Source organism: Homo sapiens, chromosome 9 (genome assembly GCF_000001405.40).
Source record: "Homo sapiens chromosome 9, GRCh38.p14 Primary Assembly".
NCBI lineage: Eukaryota > Metazoa > Chordata > Mammalia > Primates > Hominidae > Homo > Homo sapiens.
The window spans coordinates 120,675,616-120,694,257 of record NC_000009.12 but is presented as its reverse complement, the minus strand read 5'-3'; the positions used below and the strand labels follow the sequence as shown (position 1 = coordinate 120,694,257).

Here is an 18,642-nt window from a genome sequence, read left to right as displayed (position 1 = left end):
GTTAGCTGGGATTCAAACCCAGATCTATCTTATTTCTTAAGCTCTTTCTAGGATGGCAAAATGACATGCTAAATGTAGGTTGAGTTTAATGTGTTCTATTATATCCTTCTAACCACTGTTAGTTGTAATGCATCTTTTGCCCCTGCCACCTTTGCTTCTCTTTTCTGATTTGTAGTCATTATTTTACTGTCCATATCATATATCTGTTTACTACTCTCTTCAGTTTTTCTCCTGATTCTTTGGAGTAGAAAGTATGCATTTTACCCAAAAGAAAAAGTACATCCTCACATACTGCTCTGTCCATTTTACTTTTACCTTTATTTTTTTTTTTTTAGCCTAATTGATTTGTACAGTGGATTGGTTTCCAGAGGAGAAGACTTGGATGTCTGTTATGAGTCAGATGAGTAAAGTTATACATTAGCCAGGATGACATTTAAGGGCTAATAGCCTACATCCCCAAACTAACAGTCATTTTAGCCAGTGTAAAACATGAAACACAAGTTGGTCAGAAATAGAGACAATAGCAAATAATGGTATTGAGTTGCTACAAATGCTTTGCAACCTAGTAATGTACTTTTATATGTATCAATTATTTTTAACTTGTGAATAATACTGAAAAATTCCAAATGGATTCCAGACATTTATTGCCAACAAAAATGTTTACTTAAACTTGCTGTTTTAGAGAATTATTTTTCTTAGCATATGGTCTTTCTTGTTAATAGCAAGCCTTTTAACAGTTTATCAGAATGTAAGCATTTCTCTTTGCTATACTTCTTTTAGTTGATGATCTTGTGTAATAGAGCACTCATTTAGAAATACACACACTTAAAATCTGTGATTAAATGGTCTTCAGGGACTAAAGCCACAAGCAGCAGGATGCTGTTGCTTTCTGTTTCCTTATTGCTTAACCAATCTGCAATGGTATCATCCTCTTTTTCCTTTTTCTTCTTCTTCTTCTTCTTCTTTTTTTTTTTTTTTTTTTGGTTAACCAGACAAAATTTCAAATCCTCTTTATTTTTTCTTGCCATGCTCAAATTGGTCTTTAACAGTGCTTCACTAAGATGCTTCTGTTTGACTTTACATTCACTTTTATTTAAGTAACAAAGAAAAGGGTGTGCTTTTGTCAATAAGTTTACACTGGGCTTTCTGTTATACAAAATAAGGTTCTTTTACATTCATCAGATCTTTGTTAATCACCCACTGTGCACCTAGCTGGGCTAGATAGATACTGGAAAGACAAATAAGACCTGGTTTCTGTCATTGAGAACATAGCGAAGGATATGGAAAATTAGACTACAGAATGGTAAGTTCTATCATAGTGGTATGTACTACAGAAGCAAAGAGAGGACTCCTTACCCAGACTTTTAGGGGATGAAGGACAATGTCAGGAAAGGCTTTCTGTGGGATGTTTTCTCTCAGTGGAGTCTTGAGAACAAATAGGAATTATTCAGGTAGAAGAGGGGAAGGACACTCTAGGAAAAGGGAGCAGCAGCCTGTTGAAAAAGTACAGAAGTAAGAGAGCACATACATGGCCCATTTAGGGAACTGAAGTCCTGAGTGGCTCGAGTAGGGGAGGAAAAGGTACATGAAGGTGGAACAGGGAATGAAGAGATTTGTGGCTGGGATGGTCCAAAGTTGTCAAATCATGATGTGCTTTCCATGTCATGCTCAGAAATTGATTCTAAGAGCCATGAAGAAGTATAAGCCAGGAAGTGACATGGTGAGATTTGTGTTTGGAAAGATCAGTCTAGAAACTGCAACATACTTCTATAAGTGTAAATGATCATCAGAGAAGATAATTAGAGGGCACTTACTGTCTCTTTAAATCTTTTCCATCATTAATTTTGGATTAAATGCTAGATAACATAATAATAGAGGGTTTATGAATTAGTTTCCTGTCTTCTGTTATTAAGCAAACATTTGAAACCTATTTTACTTGTTGGTATAACACATAGACTTAGATAATTAAAATTAGAGACTTGACAAAGCTACCAATTGGTGCTGGACCTCTTGATGGATCTGATGTTAGGTTAAACAAACACAAGTGCCTTCTGTATGCCAGGCAGTGTGCTAGGAACTGAAGAGAGAATGGTGAATGACTTAGGCATTCACAATCTAGTGGAGAGACAGATTCATACACAAATGCAAGTGCTCTAGAATACTTATGTATTAGATTCCTTAATGTACATTTTCACTTTCAGTCCTTACCTTAAACTTAAATATGGATGAGGAAACCGAAGATAAGAAGTATTTAACTTACTCAAGATCATGTAATAATGAGTGGTACATAGCCACAATTCAGTATTCGAAGTACCTAACTCAATTTATTCCGTACCATATTATACTGCTTCTCTTGACAAGGCAATGCATATGTACTTTTGAGCCTGAAGTAGTTTTCTTCCTCTCTTTTCTTAATTCTTTCTAATGCTACCCAAACCGGTAATGTTCAGCCTTGAAGTATCCAGTCATTGTTGGTTAAAAGTGCAGGCTCTGAAGTCAGATTGTCTGGATTCCAATCCCAGCTCCATCACTTACTCCCTGTCTGTCAGCCTACATCATAGAATTATGAGATGATGTTGGTAAAGCACTTAAAACAGTGAAAGCACAGGGAAAGAATTCAATTGATGTTACTTAAAATTGTCATTGGAATAGCAATTCATCTACTTTCCAAACATTCAGGAAATTTTGATAAAATGCGTTTAAACTATCCAACTTTATTGAAGTTAATCTTGGTGAAGAGCTTTTGCCTAGTGTGCATATTTGAAATCTGACTTCTTGTTCAGGGCATCAGTGGCCTGTGGCAAAGATGCCCCAAAAGTATCTAGGAAAATATGCCTGTGAGAGTAACGTAAAGATACTTAAAAACTTTTGTATTGTGGAAAATTTTGAATATATACCAAAATTAACAGAGTAGGGTTATGACCTTTCTCATATCTCTCACCCACCTGCACAACCAACTATCACTCCATGGCCAGTCCTGCCTCATCCACACCCCTATCCATTTATGTTGCTAGAGCTAAATCTAGAGACTTGATTGATTGATTGATCATTTTTTGAGACAAGTAATGAAAAATGGTGGCTTTTTTTGTTGTTATTTCTGGCATTGTTAAATACCTAGTAACTCAACTGAGGATGAAAACTGGCAACATAAATACTCCTGGAATTGTTTGGATAGGGTAGGATACAGATTATTACCCAGTTTCTACATGTGAAGAAACTATGACTCAAAGAAATGCTTATCAATGGTCATATTAACTGCAAACAACTTGTGCTAAAATGTGTCATTGGAACCATGCTCATTCCATACATATTTATTGAGTTCAATAAAATATTTATATTTCTTTTTAAATGTCTGTGGCCAACATTATTTTTATAACAAGGGCATTTTTATTTTGATTACCTAATTTCTTCTTTTGTTATGTTAGAATTTAAAGTACTTCCCTCCTCCTCTGTCCTATCCTAATTTTTAGCTAGTGGAGTGACTTTAGGGATAATACAGAGGAAATTTTGGTCTCCAGCAGAGGGTCAGTTGCAACTATGAAAACAACTCAGGCAAATGGTCTATTGATAGTGGAACTTTTCATTATAAAAAGTTCTTTTCAAATTCCAGGATATTGGTTGCTTGGTCACTGAAGAGTCTGTACTACCATTCAGTAGCACCCTGGGTGTCTGAGCAGACCTGGTTAGGAATGTACTGCTCATTTTGAATGAAATAAATAAAAAGGATAGAGAAGCTGCCCCAAGCATTGCCAAACATTCTACATCTGATGTATCATTGATACAAAACATTAGTCTTTTAGAGTATACCCTAAAATACAAATAGTTTTCATTTTGAATGTTGCCATCTTTGACTATAGCCACATATCCTTTAATATATACACACACACACACTGACTCCAGGGCATTGATGAAAGTTCATTGCTTTCTTGGTCTCTGGGTGAGTAAAGTTGTTTTAATATGTCAGGTTTGGTTTTGTCAACAAAATACCCCAGTGTACTTACCTTCTTTATTCCCATTCTTTAATTTTTATGTCCTTGGACCTCGTAATTTCCCCAAAGTTTTGTATGCCATTCCCTCAGCAGCAGAAGTAATAGTGCTTGATGAAGTATGACTTTGATATTAGTTTAGTTATATATCTGGAATGTTTATTCCCCTGGGCTTTCCAACTGAGGGAGCCCAGCGTGAACTCCTTCTTTGGAAAATATCTGAGTGGGCAGACCCATTTGCCACATTACCCTCATTGTCTGTCTTTGTTTATTCAGCTGAAAAGCAAGTACTTGCCTCTTACACAGCCAGTCATGAATCTTAGAGTCTCAGAAGCTGTTAAAACGGGTAGAAAAATTGTTATGGGAAGGGAGAGGATGAAAATTGTTATCAGGTATTGACATAATGTGCAAGTAAAGGTGCTGTCTTAGAGAAGAGCATAATGACTTTAGGTGGTTATAAAGCACAACTCTGGCAACATTTTTATGGGCCCAATTTATTAGGGTCTTTGATTTTTATACAATTTTCCTACCTTCTGAGTAAGAGACAATGATAATTCATTGGCACACATGATTCATTTTTACTACAATAGGGGAAAAACTAGGTTTTTAGGATATGAGCCTACCATCTGGTGCACAGGTAATGATAAATATCCTGTGGTCATAATAACATGCACATGCTCTTGGCATTTATTTTTCTGGCTATCTTCATCTCTCAATTGGATTTTTTTTAGCAGGCTGCTAAAAAGTCTCTTTGCATTCATTCTTTCCCTGGTCCATTTTCACACTGTAGCCAGAATTATGTTTCTAAGATGTAGATCTGATTATTCTTCCTCTCTTGTATAAAATTCTTCCATGGCTATCCAGTTGCTCTTAGGAAAGTCCTTCACCTGTCACCACTTCTTACCCCATTCTGTGTCCCAGCCACAATGCACTTTTTCCAGTTCTCTATAGTACTATGCTCTCTTTTGCCTTGATGTTGTTACACATGCTGCTCCTTGCCTTGGGGATACTCCTCTCCTCTACCCTTAGCTTAGCTATACCTCCTCATTCTTCACGTCCATGCTTAGATATTTCTTCCTCTAGAAAGTCTGAATTAGGTGGTTCTCCATGTGCAAACACATGTACCATAATGTTCTATTCATATTTCTGTTTCAATACTTATCACACGATATTGCTTCTTTGTTTTTCTCTCTGCTATAAGACATTAAGCTGTATAAGAACAATGACCACGTCTGTCTTTCTCATTGTTGTATCTCCAGCACCTAGAAATTGTAGTCTGTATTTCTGGCACAACACTAGTTTGTTGATGATTGAACCAGTGATTAATGTGCTTTGCCAGGAATCTTTTCTCTAGAAACCTCAGAGAAGAATTACAGTTCTCTGGTTTTGTGCTCTGCATATTTTTCTATCTTCTATTCATACTAATTCAATTATCAACAGAACATTGCTTTGAACCTTTTAAACCTCTCTACCTTGCCCAGAAGCACGTGTAAAGAACATGTAAAATGAAAAACTCCTGCATATACTTACCATACGCTTCCTATGTCCATCCTATCTAAAATTGCACTCCCACAACACACATGTAGTTACTCTCCACCTCCATCTCCCCTGTCTCCCTTTCCTGCTGTTTTTCCTCCTTAGGATTTAACTACCTTCTAACATACTAAATACTTAACCTATTTAAGTAACTAATTGTGTGTCCATTTCTAAGATGTAAGGTCCATGAGGGCGTTAATTTTGGCCTGTTTTGTTTACTGCCACATCCCTAGCATCTGAAATAATGTTTAGCAGGTATATATGAGGCAATATATATTTGCTGAATGAATGAATATATTCATGCCCTTGGATGTATGTCTTTTTCTTTTTCACTTGATTTTGGTGCACCTGATACAGCCCTGCTGTTAGCACTACTGTTTCTTTTCCTTCCTTATTTTGCAGACTTTACAGTTAGTCCTATTTGGGTCCATAATCTTGGCTACCCCAGGCAGAGATTCTGTTTTTCCATGTTGATTGGCCCAGGTAACCATATCTTCACTTGAATCTGACCTTCAAATCTCCTAACTTGATCTCTGAAGCCCTAAGAGAAGTTGTGTGTGCGTGCGTGTGTGTGTGTGTGTGTGTGTGTGTGTGTGTGTGTGTGTTGCGGAGAGGAGATGATGCATTCAGAGATAAGTCAGATGCAAAACTTGTTCTTTTAAAACCTAGATAGGACAAATAGATGATTATTTCTATAGTACAAGTTTGAGTACGATGATATTTGTTTATGAGAAATGCTAACCAATGGGGAGAAACTTATTCTTCATTTTAAAAAATATGAAATAAGTTTTCTGAAAAGTATAAAAAGTAATATAGTGAACATCCCCTGTATACCTGCCTCCCAGCTTTGTAATATCTGAATTTTCTCCTGTATTTGCTTTGGATTGTTTTCATTTTTGAGATAAAATATTAAATATGATCATAGCCTCCTGGTGTTCTTTTTTTTTTTTTTTATCTCTTTTTCTTTCTTCCCTACCCAGATGTAACCACTATCCTGAATTTGGTGCCATGCATTTAAAAATGTTTACACACACACACACACACACACACACACACACACACACAGTGTTGTGTTCATGTTTCAAATTTTGTATAATGAACTCTTACCATGCTTTTTTTAAACTCACCATTTTATTGAGATTTTTCTATATTGTTCCATGTAATTCTGCTTTATCAAGTTTGCTGTATAGTTTCCTACTGTATGAATAGTCCACAATATCTCATTTTTCTTATTGATAATCATTTGAGCTGATTCTACATTTTTTGCTTTTTCAAGTAATGCTGCAATGAACAACATTGCACATGTTTTCTTCACTTGTAGGTGAGTTTCTCTAGAGCAATACGTCTCAATTAATGTGCATAGGAATCACCTGAGTACCTTATGATACTGCAGGTTCTGATTCAGGTCCTGATTCAGTTGTTCTCAGGTGGGCCTGAGAATCTATATTTCTCACAAGTTCCCAGGTAATGCAGATCCATAGACCATATTTGGAGTTGCAAGGCACTGCTAGGTTCTAGAATATGCACATTCTTCTCTGAAGAGGTTATACAAGTTTATATTTCAACCAGGAATGTATGAGAGATTTGGCTGTTCTAGGAGTAGCCTCTTTTAGATGATTCTATAAATTTTATGTGTAACCATTCTCTCCTTAAAATTAGATATTTTTTTTGGAGGGAAAGCATTAAAACATATAGCAGAATCACTTCAGTGGGTAGTTGGCTTAATTTCAGCATTTCTCAGGAATTGATCTAAATATATATATATACACATACACACACACACACACAAACTATTTTATTAAAAATTCACCTGTTTCCTTTTTGTTCAAATAGTTACTCTGTTTACCATTGCCAACCAAGACAGGGCTTTGACTACAAAATGAACCATCCCAGAGAGTTGAAAGGGAAGGAAGACTGTGTGCCAAGTACTATGCTATATTGTTTCATTTAATATCCACATTTGTACAGGGGAGGGAGCTGAGGCTCACAGCAAAGTGTTAGAGCCAGTGTTTGGATTCTAGTCCACCTGACTTTAAAGATTGGTGTACTACTCCTAGCTTCAGTTATCTGTAAAAAGGAGGTAGTGGTAGAGCAGATAATCAGATCTCTAACTTCCAGCACTTTAAGATTCACTAGCTTCTAGTTAGGGAAGTAAGGAATGCCTACCAGCATACTGTATCATGATAGCTCCCTCTCTCCTTTTCAAATTATGGGTTAAAAAACATATAAAGCTGACCACTGTAACCATTTTTAAGTGTACAGTTTGTTAAGTATATTCACATTGTTGTGAAACAGATTTCCAGAACTTTTTCATCTTGCAAATTTGAAACTCTGTATCCATTAAATAAGAATTCCCTCGGCCGGGCCTGGTGGCTCACGATTGTAATCCCAGCACTTCGGGAGGCCGAGGCAGGCGGATCACGAGGTTAGGAGATTGAGACCACAGTGAAACCCCGTCTCTACTAAAAATACAAAAAATTATCCAGGCGTGGTGGCGGGCACCTGTAGTCCCAGCTGCTCAGAGAGGCTGAGGCTGGAGAATGGCATGAACCTGGGAGGCGGAGCTTGCAGTGAGCCGAGATCACGCTGCTGCACTCCAGCCTAGGCGACAGAGCAAGACTCCATCTCAAAAAAAAAAAAAAAAAAAATTCCCTCAACTCCCTTTTCCCCTTCCCCCAAGCTCTTGGCAACTATCATTCCAATCTGTTTCTGTGAATTTGACTACTTTAGATACTTCATAAGTGGAATCATGGAGTATTTGTTGTTTTGTGACTAGTTTATTTCACTTAACACAGTGACCTCAAGGTTTCTCCATGTTGTAGCATGTGACAGGATTTCCTTCATTTTTAGGGCTGAATAATATTCCATTGTATATAGATGCCACATTTTCTTTCTTTATCCATCAATAGACATATGGGTTGCTTCCACCTCTTGAGTATTGTGAATAGTGCTGCTATGAATGTGATTGTGCAAGTATCTCTTCGAGGCATTGCTTTTAGTTCTTTTGGATATAAACCCATTAATGAGATTGTTGAATCATATATGGTAAATTAATTTTTTGGGAAACTGCGATACTGTTTTTCATAGTGGCTGTACCATTTTACACTTCCACCAAGACTGTGGTGATAGCTTTTAATGGTACAGAAAGTAGTGAATGGGATGTATGAAATCAGAAGTGAAGTAGAAAGAATTGGCAAATTCTGCTAGTGTGGAAATAGATATCATTTAGCCATAGTCTGTTTCCCTTAGATATTTTATCTAACATTGCCTGTTTCTCCAAGACTATTACTTCAGGAGGGGAGGAGGGAGCCAAATTATTTCTTTTTTGATATATTATTGACCATTGGTCTCTGAGAATATCCGAGATTGTTAACATCTAATAGTGCCTTGGCAATAATTAGAGGAAGTTCGACGGTTGTGTTTTGTATTTTTCTCTGAAGGAGTGTGCAAGAGTATGATGTTGATGTAAACATTGTGATGAGCAGGTTAGGAGTATGTCAGGAACATGGAATGCAATCCTATGTCTGTATTGCTTGCAGCCTTGAACAAAATCTTCAACATCTTGATGCTTCCAAAATCGCATTTAAAAAATGAAGCCTCCCGGCCGGGTGTGGTGGCTTACGCCTGTAATCCCAGCACTTTGGGAGGCCCAGGCGGGTGGATCACAAGGTCAGGAGATCGAGACCATCCTGGCTAACACGGTGAAATCCTGTCTCTACTAAAAATACAAAAAATTAGCTGGGCGTGGTGGTGGGCGCCTGTAGTCCCAACTACTCAGGAAGCTGAGGCAGGAGAATGGCGTGAACCCTGGGAGGTGGAGCTTGCAGTGAGCCGAGATCGTGCCACTGCACTCCAGACTGGGAGAGAGAGCGAGACTCCGTCTCAAAAAAAAAAAAGAAAAAAAAATGAAGCCTCCAATCTGTTTTAGTATTGTGACTTCTCAACATCAGTTTTCTTTTGAGGATCTTAGTGTATACATGGCGTATATGTGTTGGCAGGGAGGTGGCTGAGTTCCACTAATGGCGTGTGCAAGAGCAGGAATGATCAGTGGTGTTGGAAGAGGGATTTCTTCTCTACTGTGCCCTTCTTTTTGAATATAAAATGTTACTCAAATGCTTAGTCACGATGATAAAGCAAAGAATTTCACAGCTTGCAGTGTGGAGCAGTGTTTATACTGTATAAGTGTTTGATAATAGTGAAGTGTGGCAGGAGAGTGGGAAGAATTTGTCAACAAGTTTTGAGGATTAAGAGGATTAGATAGGGAACACAAAGTAAGATAACCCCCTTTGACTTCTGAAAGAAAAAAGTAGTTATTTTAAAATGTCCTTTGGAATGACTCAAGGCTCAGCTATTTTACTTGCTTCTAGAAAACTGCAAATCTATTAAACTTCTAGCACTGTAGACAACTGCAGACAGGTATATTTTCGACCTTGGAGTGTTTATTCAGAAAGCAAGCAGACTTAATTTCAGTGTATAATATACAGATAGACCCTACTTACTGTGCCATCTGTATGTTTGAAGAAGCAGCCTTTACTAGTGACTCTGCCCAAATTCAGGTTCTCCTGTCAAATTGCTACAACAGTTTGTCAATAAACCTGTAGCCCTAGTCTACCTTCTCTAGTCCTTTCTTCACACTGCTCTTAAAGATGGTCATGACCATCTGACCTTGGGAAAATTAATTTCTCTGTGCCTCTATTTTCTTATTTTATACCCTCTATGGTAAAGGTTGTAACTATCTTATAGGTTCCTTGTACATTTTTATTTGTATTTATACCTGGATTTTATTTTATTTTTAAATTTTTTTCCTTGTAAGTTTTTTGTTTGTTTTGGGGTTTTTTTTTGAAGCAGGGTCTCACTCCTGTTGTCCATGTTGGAGTGCAGTGATATGATCATGGCTCACTGCAGCCTCAACTTCCCAGGCTTAGATGATCCTTCTGCCTCAGCCTCCTGAGTAGCTGGGACTGCAGGTGTGTGCCCCCACACCTGGCTAATTTTTTGTATTTTAAGTAGAGACAGAGTTTTACCATGTTGCCCAGGCTTCACACTGCCAGTTTTCAAACTGCTATAAAGAACTACTTGAGACTGGGTAATTTATAAAGAAATGAGGTTTAATTGACTCACAGTTCCACATGCCTGGGGAGGCCTCAGGAAACTTACAATCATGGCAGAAGCCGAAGGAGAAGCAAAGACCTTCTTCACATGGCGGCAGGAAAGAGAGCTAGCAAGAGCAGGGAAAACTGCCTTATAAAACCATCAGATCTTGTGAGAACTCACTCACTATCACTAGAAGAGCATGAGGGAAACTGCCCCTGTGATCCAATCACCTCCCATCTGGTCCCTCCCTCAACACATGGAGATTATGAGGATTACAATTTGAGATGAGATTTGGGTGGGTTCACAGCCAAACCATTTCGTTCCCTTTGGCTTATGGCCAACTTTTTGGGTAAATCAGAATGAATTTTGAACTATGTAAAAATGCATATTCCTTAGTACCCCCACCAGAGATTTCTATTCAGTCGGCCTAGGATGGGACCCAGGAATCAGTGTGTTACTGTACTCTCCAGGTGATTTTGAGGCTGGTGGTACCAGAACCTTCTTTGGGGAATCATTCCATGTTGGATGAAATGCAGACTCTTTAGACTGCAGTTCAGGGCCCTAATATACCTTTCTAATATGTATATTCTCCTATTCCTCCCTATTAGTCTTTGCTGCAACCATAACAAGTACATTTTCTCTACTCACTCTTCTCCATATGCCCCATGTATTTTCCCAAGATAGTATGGCATAACTTTGTAAGCAAATATATATTTATTCCTAGTAATCTACAAAATATTCATTTAATACTATGTGTAAGGGCTGGGTGCGGTGGCTCATGGCTGTAATCCCAGCACTTTGGAAGCTGAGGTGGGAGCATCACTTGGGCCCAGGAGTTTGAGACCAGCCTGGTTAACATAGCAAGATCCTGTCTCTACAAAAAATAAAAACATTAGCTGGGGATGGTGGCTTGCTCCTGTAGTCCCAGCTACTCGGGACGCTGAGGTAGGAGGATGGCCTGAGCCTGGGTGATCTACAGTGGACCATAATCATGCCACTACACTCCAGCTTGGGTGGCAGAGAAGACCCTGTTTCAAATATATGTGTGTGCGTGTGTGTGTGTGTGTGTAAGAATTGGTTGGGGATGAATGTGAAACTACAAAATGTGGAACCAACCTTCCCTTTTTTGAATATTGGCAAATAGTTCCTAGGTTATACCACTGCACACCTTAGGATAGCATTTTTAAACTGACCTTTCCTTTTGTTCTCTTTGTACTACTTTTCTCTGAATGAATTTTCCAGGCATTACAATGAGCAAATAGTTCTAACCTTTAAGTTGCTCATCTGGCCTCTCTGTAAACAGGGACAGTAAGGCAAATCTGGTCCCAACCTCAGAAGCAATTGGCAGTACTTGAAATTGAAGTTATTTTCTTCTTATGCTTTCTGTTATATTACCTATAAGATTAAGCCTTAATCAGGCATTAATGAATTATTTTGGGTATTTTGAATTCATTAATAGGCCTCTGATGATCCCTTTTAGTTTTTAATTTTTGCAATCTGTAGTAACATCTAAGGATGCTACTTTGCCAAACAGATTGCTTATAATAAAAATGTAGGGTAGAGAAAGGCCACTGTCATAGGTGTTTTTTGTTGTTGTTGCTTGTTGTTGTTGTTTTGCCTTGTATCTTCTAATTCTGAAAACATCCTTGTAAGGTTCATTACTCTAATTTTAAGAAAAGTCTTTACAAAGAGGACATGACATTTGAGATTGCAGAGCTATAAACAACGGATTCAGATTTGCACCCAAGTCCCTTTACTTCATAAACTAATCTTCCTCTACTGTGGCCTGGAGCTGGATTTCAAGTTATTCAAATTCAGTTTCCGTGTTTGCTCTCCCTGTCCCTGCCTCCCCTTGGACTTGGGATATTGTGATAATGCTGTAAATCAAAAAGCCCATATAAATTGAAGAATAGTTACCAACATAACAGCTACTCTATATTAATAGGTATATGGTAATTAGGATAGAATACTCTTAAGCCTTCTAGGCAGTACTTGGTTAATTATTTTAGTATTACACATACTAAATTTGATAGTGGCCTGATAGAGTCAAATGCATTCTTTTTTTTTTTCATTAGGCACATAACCCATTTTTATTATAAAAAGAAATGCACATATAAGTAAACTTGTCTTGTGCCATCCCTCCCCCAACCCCAGGCAGTGCATCTCGCAGCAACAAAAGTGACTCCTTCCTTTTGTTTAAGGAGAGGATGCAAAGAGTAAAGCGGACTTTGTCTTGCATCTTGGATACAAGCTCAGCCACAGTAGTATAGGGTATCAAGCAGAGCTGTGAGGCCCCCATTCCAGGACCTAGCTCCCAGACAACATTTCTAGACACACCCTGTGCCAAAAGGGAATCTGCCGCCTTCAAGGGAAGGACCCAGTCCTGGCGGCATTCATCACCTACTGACTAAAGAGCCCTTGGGCCCTGAATAACCAGCAGCAGTAGCCAGGGAGGACACTGTGGGGCCGTGGGCTCTGAGATGTGCTGGCTTCAGAGGCGACCCAGCACATTCCCAGCTGTGGTGGCTATGGTGAAAGACTCCTTCTGTTTGAGAAAAGCAGAGGGAAAGGTAAAGGGGACTTTGGCACCTTAAGTACCAGCTCATCTATGGTAGGATAGAGCAATAAATGGGCTCTTGAGGTCCCTGACTCTAGGGAGCCTAGGCCTAGGCTCTTAGGCAGCATTTCTGGACCTGCCCTTGGCCACAGGGGAGCCTGCTGCCTGGAAAACAGAGTCCCAGGCCTGGCAGCATTCACCACAAGCTGATGGAAGAGCCCTTGGGCCTTAAATGAACATCGACAGTGGCCTGGCAGAACCAGTGGTGGTGGTGGCCACAGGAAGAGGCTCCTGTGCCTGTGGAAAGGGGGGAAGAGTGAGAAGGACTTTGTATTGTGGCGCGAGTGCCAGCTTAGCCACAGTAGAATAGAACATCAGGTAAACTGCTAAGACTTTTTACTTCTATCCCTGGCTCCCAGACAACATCTCTGGATACATCCAGGGTCTAGGGGAGCTTGCCGCCCTGAAGGGAAGGGCCTTGGGAGAGATCCAGTGCTGTGGTGGCTTCAGGTCTGACCCAGTGCAGTCCCAGTGGTGGTGGCCACAGGGGTGCATGCGTTACCACACCCCCAGTTTCAGGTGGCTCAGCACAGGGAGAGAGACTTCATTTATTTGGGAGATGGTAAGGGTAAAGAATAAGAGTTTCTGCTTGGTAATCCACAGAATTCCAGATCTTATCCAGGACCAACAAGGCGGTACCTGTATAAGTCTGCAAAAACCAGTGTTACTGCATTTGGGGCCCAAGTCCCTTCGAATACCTGGAAAGCCTTCCCAAGAAGGAGAGGCACACACAAGCCCAGACTGTGGAGACTACAATAAATACCTAACTCTTCAATGCCTAGACACCAGTGAATATCTACACGTATCAACACCATCCAGGAAAACATGACCTCATCAGATGAACTAAATAAGGCACCAGGGACCAATCCTGGAGAAACAGAAATATATGAACTTTCAAACAGAGAATTCAAAATAGCTGTTTTGAGGAAACTCAAATTCAAGATAAAACAGAGAAGGAAGTCAGAATTCTATTAGAGACGTTTAACAGAAATTGAAATAAGTAAAAATAACAGAAATTCTAGAGTTGGAAGTGCAATTGACATGCTGAAGAATGCATCAGAGTCTCTCTCTTTTTTTTTTTTTTTTTGAGACGGAGTCTCACTCTGTCACCCAGGCTGGAGTGCAGTGGCACAATCTTGGCTCACTGCAACCTCCGCCTCCTGGGTTCAGGTGATTCTCCTGCCTCAGCCTCCTGAGTAGCTGGGATTACAAGTGCTTGCCACCACACCCGGCTAATTTTTGTATTTTTAGTAGAGACGGGGTTTCACTATGTTGGCCAGGCTGGTCTCAAACTCCTGGCCTCAGGTGATCTGCCTGCATCAGCCTCCCATAGTGCTGGGATTACAGACATGAGCCACTGCGCTGGCCAGAGTCTCTCTGTCTCTCTCTCTTTTTTTTTAAATTATACTTTAAGTTCTAGGGTACATGTGCACAACGATCAGGTTTGTCACATATGTATACATGTGCCATGTTGGTGTGGTGCACCCATTAACTCGTCATTTACATTAAGTATGTCTCCTAATGCAATCCCTTCCCCCTCCCCCCACCCCTCAACAGGCCCCGGTGTGTGATGTTCCCCATCCTGTGTCCAAGTGTTCTCATTGTTCAATTCCCACATATGAGTGAGAACATGCGGTGTTTGGTTTTCTGTCCTTGTGATAGTTTGCTCAGAATGATGGTTTCTAGCTTCATCTGTGTCCCTACAAAGGACATGAACTCATCATTTTTTATGGCTGCATAGTATTCCATGGTGTATATGTGCCACATTTTCTTAATCCATTCTATCATTGATGGACATTTAGGTTGGTTCCAAGTCTTTGCTATTGTGAATAGTGCCGCAAAAATAAATGTGTGCATGTGTCTTTATAGCAGCATGATTTATAATCCTTTGGTTATATACCCAGTAATGAGATGGCTGGGTCAAATGATATTTCTAGTTCTAGATCCTTGAGGAATTGCCACACTGTCTTCTAAAATCGTTGAACTAGTTTACAGTCCCACCAACAGTGTAAAAGTGTTCCTATTTCTCCACATCCTCTCCAGCACCTGTTGTTTCCTGACTTTTTAATGATCGCCATTGTAACTGGTGTGAGATGGTATCTCATTGTGGTTTTGATTTGCATTTCTCTGATGGCCAGTGATGATGAGCCTTTTTTCATGTGTCTGTTCAGCCAGAGTCTCTTAATAGTAGAATTGATTAAGCAGAAGAACTAGTGAACATGAAGACAGGCTATTTAAAAATACAAAGTCAGGCTGAATGCAGTGGCTCACACCTGTAATCCCAGCACTTTGGGAGGCCGAGGCAGGTGGATCACTTCAGGCCAGGAGTTCGAGACCAGCATGGCCAACATGGCAAAACCCCATCTCTACTGAAATACAAAAAAATTAGCCAGGTATGGTGGTGCACACCTGTTATCCCAGCTGTTCAGGAGGCTGAGGCATGAGAATTCCTTGAACCCGGGAGGCAGAGGTTGCAGTGAGCCAAGATCATGCTACTGCATTCCACCCTGGGCGACACAGTGAGACTCTGTCTCAGAAAAACAAACAAAAAAATCCCCCACAAGTCAGACAGTAATAAATGCTGGTGAGGATGTGGAGAAAGGGAAATCTTGTATAGTGTTGGTGGGAGGGTAAATTAGTACAACCACTATGGAGAACTGTTTAGAGGTTCCTCAGTAAACTAAAATTAGAGCTACAATACAATCCATCAATCTCACTGCTGGATATATACTCAAAGGAAATCCATATATCGAGGAATATTTGCATTCCCATGTTTGTTGCAGCAACTGTTCATAATAGCCAAGATTTGGAAGCAACCCAAGTATCCATCAACAGACTAATGGATAAAGTAAATGTGGTGCATATACACAATGGAGTACTATTCATCCATAAAACAGAATAAGATCCTGTCATTTGCAACAACATGGATTTGCAACAACAACAACTAGAGGTAATTATGTTAAGTGAAATAAGCCAGGCACAGAAAGTTAAATATTGCATGTTCTCACTTATTTGTGGGACCTAAAAGTTAAAACAATTGAACTCATAGAGATAGAGAATAGAAAGATATTTACTAGAGTCTGGGAAGAGTAGTCGGGGGTTGCATGGAAGGGAGGTGGGGATGGTTAATGGGTACAAAAAATAAAATATACTCTCGAAACATGAACAATTAACTCTTACTAAGTGGCAAAATTAGTTTTTTCAAAACTTTGAAAAATGTATACTAATGGAAAAGTGGTGGCACAAAAAGATAAGTGTTTTGCCTAGGTTCAAATAGAAGTTTGATAGCTTAGTATAGTCCATATCCAGAACTCTTGATCCCAAATTAGCACATTTCTTTTAGAGAGATACTTGTATTGTTTTAGTTATGAGAGTGCATTTGAATAAAATAAATGGATGACAAATACTAACTCATGATTGTGTCTTTGGCTTTGAACAGTATGTTAAGGTGTACCAGCTGAAAACAAATGCAAGGTGTTGCCAATTGATAATTTATTTTGTAGCTTGAGCAACTGCTTCCCTCCTACCCCACACCATTTGGTAATCATTTGATTTGATTTCACTTGCTTACAGAAAAACAGATTGGAAAAAAAATGCCAGACGCAGTGGCTCTGGCCTGTGAACCAGCACTTTGGGGGCTGAGGTGGGCGGATTGCTTGAGCACGAGTTTGAAACCAGCCTGGGCAACATGATGATACCCCATCTCTATAAAAAAAATTTTTTTTTTAATTAGGCTGGCATGGTGGTGCACGCCTGTAGTCCCAACTACTTGGGAAGCTGAGGTGGGAGGATAACCTGAGGCAAGGAGGTTGAGGCTGCGGTGAGCTGTGATCGTGCCACTGCACTCCATCCTGGGCGACCGAGGGAGATCCGGTCACATACACACACACACACACACTCACACACACGAAAAGAAAAGAAAACACAACTGCATTTAATAGTATTAGGTAGAATTTCTTCTTCTTTTTGCTCCTTATCTCCTCCCCTTCTTTTAAAGGAAGAAGTGGTGAAGTGAAGTGAAATGAGGAAGGGTATTGACGTAAGATAAACCTGGATGTGAATGTTGTCTCAACCACTTACCCGCTAACTCTGGTCTTGGGCAAGCACTTAGCTTCTCTAAGTTTTAGTTTTCCTCTTAATAAACTGGGACTTGCAGTCTCTACAGTTGCAAGGTTGTTGTAAAGCTAAGTATTCATGCAAGTAAAATGTGCAACAAAGTCCGAGACATAGTTAGTAGATCATAGTAAATGACAATTATTTTTATTATAATAGTAATAAGGTTTACCTAGGGATTAAGATAAGCAGTTGTATGAAACAGTTTGCTGTATTTTATCACAAGCTGTTGTGGAGGAAACCCAGAATTATATCTGTTGTTAGCCAGATAAGATATGACCTTTAATGGAAGATCTCATAATCATGTAACTTAAAAACAGAAATCTTACTCAAGAAAATCAAGGGGAATACCATTAGAAACAATAAGAGAGTTCATCAAAATGTCTGTATGGATATCTCAAAAAATCTAATTGAATGATTATTACTAATATTGATTAGAAGATACAATGGAAAAAAAAATCACAGTTGTAACCACTACTGCCACCACTACTACTAATGATAAAAAGTTTAAAAGTCATCATAACAAGATATGTATGAAACTCATATACATATTTTTTAAGTTATAAAATTTCACTGATATAAAAGAAGACTGAATAAGTGGAGACACATGTTAGTGCTCATAGATGGGAAAATTGAAGTTTTTTTTGTAGAGATGGAACCGGTTTTGCCATGTTGCCCAGGCTGAACTTGTGGACTCAAGTGATCTGTCTGCCTTGGCCTCCCAAAGTGCTGGGAATGCAGGCCAGAGCCACTGTGCCTGGCTGAAAATTGAATATTGTAAAGCTGCCAGTTATTGATGCATTAATTTTTAGGATAAATGGAATTACTGGGGAAATTACAATGGGAATATTTTTGGAGGGAATGTGGCAATAAAGTTTAGGTGGAAACATTAGTAACTATGAACAACTAAAGAAATGTAAAGAAGGATAATACATTAGTGAAGCACATTATAAAGCTGCAGTTATTAAAACTTTTTTATGTGCTGATATAAGAATAGGTTGTTTTTTTTTTTTTTTTTTTTTTTGAGATGGAGTCTCGCTCTGTCGGCCAGGCTGGAGTGCAATGGCGTGATCTCGGCTCACTGCAGCTTCCGCCTCCCAGGTTCAAGCGATTCTCCTGCCTCAGCCTTCAGAGTAGCTGGGATTACAGGCGCCCGCCACCACACCCGGCTAATTTTTTGTATTTTTAGTAGAGACAGGGTTTTACTATGTTGGCCAGGCTGGTCTTGAACTCCTGACCTTGTGATCCACCCCCCTCGGCCTCCCAAAGTGCTGGGATTACAGGCATGAGCCACTG

At 39.4% G+C, this 18,642-nt stretch overlaps 1 protein-coding gene across 1 annotated transcript in view, besides 3 other annotated features; it reads left to right on the top strand.

Annotated features, from left to right (window-relative positions):
- The window catches only part of MEGF9 (multiple EGF like domains 9), a 113,660-nt gene that overhangs the window by 20,213 nt on the left and 74,805 nt on the right, over positions 1 to 18,642 (top strand). The gene's annotated exons all lie outside the window — the stretch shown is intronic.
- Positions 709 to 1,519: an enhancer, noted in NCBI's record as "OCT4-NANOG hESC enhancer chr9:123455017-123455827 (GRCh37/hg19 assembly coordinates)". NCBI's record gives its function as "activates a minimal SCP1, AML or CMV promoter by ChIP-STARR-seq in naive H9 embryonic stem cells {active_cell/tissue: H9 hESC(naive)}" and the evidence as "EXISTENCE:reporter gene assay evidence [ECO:0000049][PMID:30033119]".
- Positions 9,569 to 9,713: an enhancer, noted in NCBI's record as "145 bp enhancer 171 fragment used in the MPRA reporter construct; PK_construct_3428". NCBI's record gives its function as "activates an SV40 promoter by MPRA in HepG2 cells {active_cell/tissue: HepG2}" and the evidence as "EXISTENCE:reporter gene assay evidence [ECO:0000049][PMID:23512712]".
- Positions 9,636 to 9,646: a transcriptional cis regulatory region, noted in NCBI's record as "NFE2L2 motif; enhancer activity is reduced when this motif is scrambled". NCBI's record gives its function as "necessary for full MPRA enhancer 171 activity {active_cell/tissue: HepG2}" and the evidence as "EXISTENCE:site-directed mutagenesis evidence [ECO:0005528][PMID:23512712]".